The sequence below is a fragment of the Homo sapiens genome, chromosome 13 (assembly GCF_000001405.40).
Source record: "Homo sapiens chromosome 13, GRCh38.p14 Primary Assembly".
In the NCBI taxonomy this organism is placed as follows: Eukaryota; Metazoa; Chordata; class Mammalia; order Primates; family Hominidae; genus Homo; species Homo sapiens.
This window is the reverse complement of record NC_000013.11, coordinates 56733825-56739824: the sequence shown is the minus strand read 5'-3', so window position 1 is coordinate 56739824 and position 6000 is coordinate 56733825. Positions and strand designations below refer to the sequence as shown.

The 6000-nt window shown below is 41.6% G+C and overlaps 1 long non-coding RNA gene across 2 annotated transcripts in view; it reads left to right on the top strand.

Annotated features, from left to right (window-relative positions):
- The first annotated feature begins 4202 nt into the window (after positions 1–4202).
- Positions 4203–6000, top strand: part of LOC105370214 (uncharacterized) — a 477307-nt gene continuing 475509 nt past the window's right edge. The window contains exon 1 of one of the 2 annotated variants that reach the window (XR_941977.3): positions 4203–4428. This is a non-coding gene — a long non-coding RNA (uncharacterized LOC105370214). The remainder of the gene's footprint in view (positions 4429–6000) is intronic. The other variant, XR_941978.2, reaches the window with a different exon arrangement.

Below are 6000 nucleotides of genomic sequence, written 5' to 3'. Positions count from 1 at the left end.
TAGTAACAGGTAGAACAACCAAACTGCCATCCTGGCCATCTTTATTACACAGGCACATTCCTAAACATTTGTCATATCTTTAGTACCTCCACACTGAACTTTCCCACAGTCTTCTTCCATGTGGTTGTTCTTAATTCTACAGCCAATGAGATTACTTAATGCATTCAAAATAATCTCTAAATTCTATATAGTTCGAAGTAGTTTTAGTAAAATGGGAGTGAGACTAACATAGATACAACACATTAGATTTCAAAGCGTAGAACTCATAAAAATAAAAATAACTTACTTTTTTTTTCTTTTTTGAGACAGAGTCTCACTCTGTCACCCAGGCTGGAGTGCAGTGGCGTGATCTTGGCTCACCGCAACCTCCTCCTCCCGGGTTCAAACCATTCTCCTGTGTCAGCCTCCTGAGTAGCTGGGACTACAGGCGCGAATCACCACGCCAAGGTAATTTTTGTATTTTTAGTAGAGACCGGGGTTCCTCCATGTTGGTCAGGCTAGTCTTGAACTCCTGACCTCAGGTGATCAACCCATCTTGGCCCCCCAAAGTGCTGGGATTACAGGCATAAGCCATCACGCCCAGCAAAAAATAACATACTTTTAAAAAGGAGGATATCAGGAAATCTCTTTCTGGTATCCATAAGGTTGTAGAATATACTAGTTTGTGGCTTTTTACAAAGGTATGGTTTCATGAAGTTTTCACAAGGTTAATTGCACTATGCCACAGGAGATATTTCTTATTTCATTGCATAAATTGAGATTAAGATAGTGTATTAGATTTATTAAAAACTGCTCTGGGCCGGGCGCGGTGGCTCATGCCTGTAATCCCAGCACTTTGGGAGGTCGAGGCGGGCGGATCACAAGGTCAGGAGATGGAGACCATCCTGGCTAACAAGGTGTGAAACTCCGCCTCTACTAAAAAAATATAAAAATTTAGCTGGGCTTGGTGGCGGGCGCCTGTAGTCCCAGATACTGGGGAGGCTGAGGCAGGAGAATGGCGTGAACCCGGGAGGCGGAGTTTGCAGTGAGCCCAGACTGCGCCGCTGCACTCCAGCCTGGGCGACAGAGCGAGACTCTGTCTCAAAAATAAATAAATAAATAAATAAATAACTGCTCTGCTAATATGGTTAAAATTGCACAATAGAGTTATACCTAATTATTTTATATTTTGGTGTTATCGAAAATGGCCCCTTGGAATTTACATTTTCTAATATCCACTGCCAGTATAAAGAAATACTAGCTTCACCTCGCTCATTCTGCTGGATAGGCATAAAATCATCAATATAATAGGCCAATGTTATCACATGTCAGATGAATTTATGATCTAGATTCCTTCTAATTATAGTATGACATACTTGAAAGAATTAGTATAACCTGGGACAAAATTATATATGAATATTTAGGACAGTTCAAGTGAATGTAAACTCTATCTGATTTATTGATAAGAATAGAAAACAATTAGTTAATCAAACCCATAGCTATACAACTCGTACCTGAAGCCTTATCCTCTAGCATTGATACTACATACAGCGCAGCAATCATGGCTACTAATTGTTAAGCTTTAGGTAGTATACATTCTCTCTCTATTTTTTTAAAGGACCATATTGGCATTTTAAATAGACTGATGAAAGGAACCACCATCAACCTTACTTTCTTCTGTCTGAACATTAAGGATGACTCCCATTTTCTGTCTGTTAATTTGGGTCTGACTGATGCCATGCTCTGTTAGCAATACTACTTAGGTGGGTGAAACCTTTGGTTGGTTCTAGGTTTTTCCCAGTTGTCTCTATCATTGTGGTCTGCTGCTTCTATCAGATAAATACCACTACCTGGCCTCTGTTATTTTGAGACCTCACCATTTCCAGGGCTATTAACAAGCTTAACTCTACGACTGCTACCTCTGCCATAATCCCTGACCTGGAGAAAAGAGCCACAGCTGAGCTTTTTAGGGACGTTGGGGCCCCATTCACCATTATATTTCTAATAGACTCCTTGATATAAAGCAACTTCAAATACAATTTCAGATGTCTTCTACTGACTCCTGATAGTGCATACTAGCTACTATCTTTTCAGCTCTTTCAAGGTGAAATTTATCTCCTTTCTCAGGTCCCAGCCAGACTATGCTTGGAATTAACCCTGCTTTTCAGATTGGTGTCTGAGAGAGGAAGCAATTGTTTCCTTGAAAGATGGTGATCTCTGAAGTATCTTCTCTCATGATAAAAGTTCTAGTTCCTAATAGGGAGGATGGCTCAGGAGGCATCTGCAGAAGCAAGATCTTTGTGGAATCTAGCTAGATGTCTCCATCTCATGTCTCAGTGTCCCAGATCTTCCCAACAGAAACCTTGATCTTCCCATAATAAAGCTGCCTTGGCTGGGCATGTAAGCTTCTCTAGAACAGACACTTAAGTAGTCAGACTGTTCCTCAGTTTGTTTGCTCTCCTATTGAAAAATATAAGGATGTTTTTATAATCTACAAAAAAATAAAAAGGCCTCTAGGTCTTGTATTTAGCCTTGAACTATTTATTAAATAATTTACACCTGTTTATTGCCTTAAATTTCATGTTATCACTTGTTACCACTCTCCAGGGTGTCAATACTACTTAGTAATGATGAGCCAGCTTGGCTGATCTCATAGGCATTGTTAATCCCATATGACTCTCAGGTGTGAATCATTCCACTTGTAATCAGGGTGTTTTGCTGGATCACCTCTGGTGAAATCTTCAGCACTCAGGCTTTCACTTTGAGCCAGGGAGAATTTGTGTCTTACACTCTACTCAGGATGCATTCTTCCTTGCAGTACAGTGCAGTCAGAGCTGGCAGTCGGTGATCTAGACCCTGAGCACTATTTAACTAATTGTCTTTATTGACCTCTCCTGGGTACAATTATGATCAATTCTGGTCATTTGAGAAACAGACAACCTGATGGAATATGACGTGCAGGGGAACTGTTGTGGGGAAATACTTGTGAAGAATGAAGGGAGGAGAAGCAAAGAGAGTCTTCAGACTGTGATACAGATGCCACACCAATGAGAGGAGAATGGAAAGAAAAGAGATTATGTGAAACATTTCAGACAGTAGTATGGGACAGAAATGTTGGCCAAGCTCATAGTGAGTCCCGGTGTCAATGTGGTTCACTGATAGAGTTCCACATAAGATAGCAAAAGCCTGGGTCTAGTACTGTGTCCGGAATTGGTGGTTTCTTGGTCTCACTGACTTCAAGAATGAAGCCGCGGACCCTCGCAGTGAGTGTTACAGTTCTGAAAGGCGGTGTGTCCAGAGTTGGTTCCTTCTGGTGGGGTTCGTGGTCTCGCTGGCTTCAGGAGTGAAGCTGCAGACCTTCACAGTGAGTGTTACAGCTCATAAAGGCAGTGTGAACCCAAAGAGTGAGCAGTAGCAAGATTTATTGCAAAGAGTGAAAGAACAAAGCTTCCACAGTGTGGAAGTTGACCCCAGCGAGTTGCCACTGGTGGCTCGGGGCAGCCTGCTTTTATTCTCTTATCTGGCCCACCCACATCCTGCTAATTCGTCCATTTTACAGAGAGCTGAGTGGTCTGTTTTGACAGGGCGCTGATTGGGCGTTTACAATCCCTGAGCTAGACACAAAGGTTCTCCAACTCCCCACTAGATTAGCTAGACACAGAGTGTGGACACAAAGGTTCTCCAAGTCCCCACCAGAGTAGCTAGATACAGAGTGTCCATTGGTGCATTCACAAACTCTGAGCTAGACACAGGGTGCTGATTGGTGTATTTACAGTCCTTTAGCTAGACATAAAGGTTCTCCAAGTCCCCACCAGACTCAGGAGCCCAGCTAGCTTTACCCAGTGGATCCCGCACAGGGGCTGCAGGTGGAGCTGCCTGCCAGTCCCGCGCCATGCGCCCGCACTCCTCAGCCCTTGGGTGGTCGATGGGACTGGGCGCCCTGGAGCAGGGGGCGGTGCTCGTCGGGGAGTCTCGGGCCGCACAGGAGCCCAGGGAGGGGCGGGGAGTCTCAGGCATGGCAGGCTGCCTGTCCCGAGCCCTGCCCCGCGGGAAGGCAGCTAAAGCCCGGCAAGAGATTGAGCACAGCAACGCTGGCCCAGGTGCTAAGCCCCTCACTGCCTGGCGGGCGGTGCCGGCCAGCCGCTCCCAGTGCGGGGCCCGCCCAGCTCACGCCCACCGGAACTCGCGCCGGCCCGCAAGCACCGCGCGCAGCCCCGGTTTCCGCTCGCGCCTCTCCCTCCACACCTGCCCACAAGCTGAGGGAGCCGGCTCCGGCCTTGGCCAGCCCGGAAAGGGGCTCCCACAGTGCAGCGGCAGGCTGAAGGGTTCCTCAAGTGCCGCCAAAGTGGGAGCCCAGGCAGAGGAGGCGCCAAGAGCGAGCGAGGGCTGTGAGGACTGCCAGCACGCTGTCACCTCTCAGTACCACCAATATCATGATTATTGAATGAGGTAAGCTCAGGGAGGTATGGTGTTATTGGGAATGCCGTGGTGGGTATAAAGCTGTGCCAGGTAGGGCTAGTAACTCATTGGCACACTCTGTGGCATTATCTCTTTCAAACTGGATATGAGCAACATTCTAGGGCTATATGTCCAAAGATACTGGGAGTGAATGGTCCACCTGTATGTAGGCAACATCAGTCAGTTATTACTATCTCTATGTATAAATAATTCTAAACAATATCAAAAATAATCACATTTCTGCCTCACTAGCCTCTCCCAATGGTATGCTACTATTGTGTAGAATTTTTTTTTATTTCCACATATTTTTAATTAACTACATGCTCTGAACCACTGGGACACAGAAATTAGGAGACAAAACCCCAGCTGTATTTGGTTGCACTTCCTGAGAAAATGACCCGAACGTGTCACAAAGAAGTTGCTAATACAAAATTCTGCACAACAAAAGCATTTCAATTCCTCATGATATTTATTATAATAGGAATTTCCCTGAATTAGAACATATTCTCAGAATGTTTTCTCTCTAGTAAATGTTAAATACATATTTATAGCTTTAAAAGTTTTATTTTTTCTCTAAATGCATCCCTTTATAATTTTTTGAGTACTAGGTGTCTGCAGTATCTTCAAAAGGCACATTTGAAAATATTTTGCATTGAACAGTAGAAAACATAAATCGACATATTATACGTATTTATTAGACATGGATTTAAAAATATGAAGTGCAAAGAACAGAAAATTCATCTGAGGACACAAATAAATAACTTGACCTACAAAGAAAATTTGTATATTATTTACCTAATGCATAATTTTTTACAGATTGATGCATTTAAGAAATAGTTTAATACATACTAAGCATTTAAATTGGATATAAATCTGCTACATTAAAAGAAAAACCTCTAGCCATTCTGTGATGTTTTTAAGATAATCAGACATTTTAGAGTACCATAATAACTAGAAACAAAGTTATTATTTTAACAAAGCAAGATATGCAAATATTTCTCTAAATAGCTACCACAAAGCCATATTCTACTTTGGTAAAAGAGAATAATATTATTAGTAGGAAAATTAATATCATTCTACCTATTAATTTACACAGTCATTAATGTTAAAATACTGGGAAATTATAAGAAAGATAATTCAAAATTATATCACAGGGTAGAAAGCATAAGTAAATATGTTATAGCTAAATGAACAAATACTTTATACATACAGTGAACATTTTTGCTTGTGTTAACTGCTTACTTATTCTCATAACTTAAATGAAAATATAGACATAAACTCTTTCCCTGATACCACTTATTTATAATTATTTCCTTAGAAACTAGTGGTGTTTATTTAAATTTTATCATAGGAACTAAAGTTCCCTTTTATCTGAGGTTGTTACATAAACAGAAGGTTATTATAAAATTTCAAATTCTGCCAACAAAAATAAATAAATGAATAATCAAATGAAAATAAATAGAATAATCTTGTGGTTTAAAAGCAGGTTTTCATACTTGATTTTAAACCAAAGAAAATACGCTTTTAAAATAGAAACATGAAGAAACCGTATACCAAAACAAT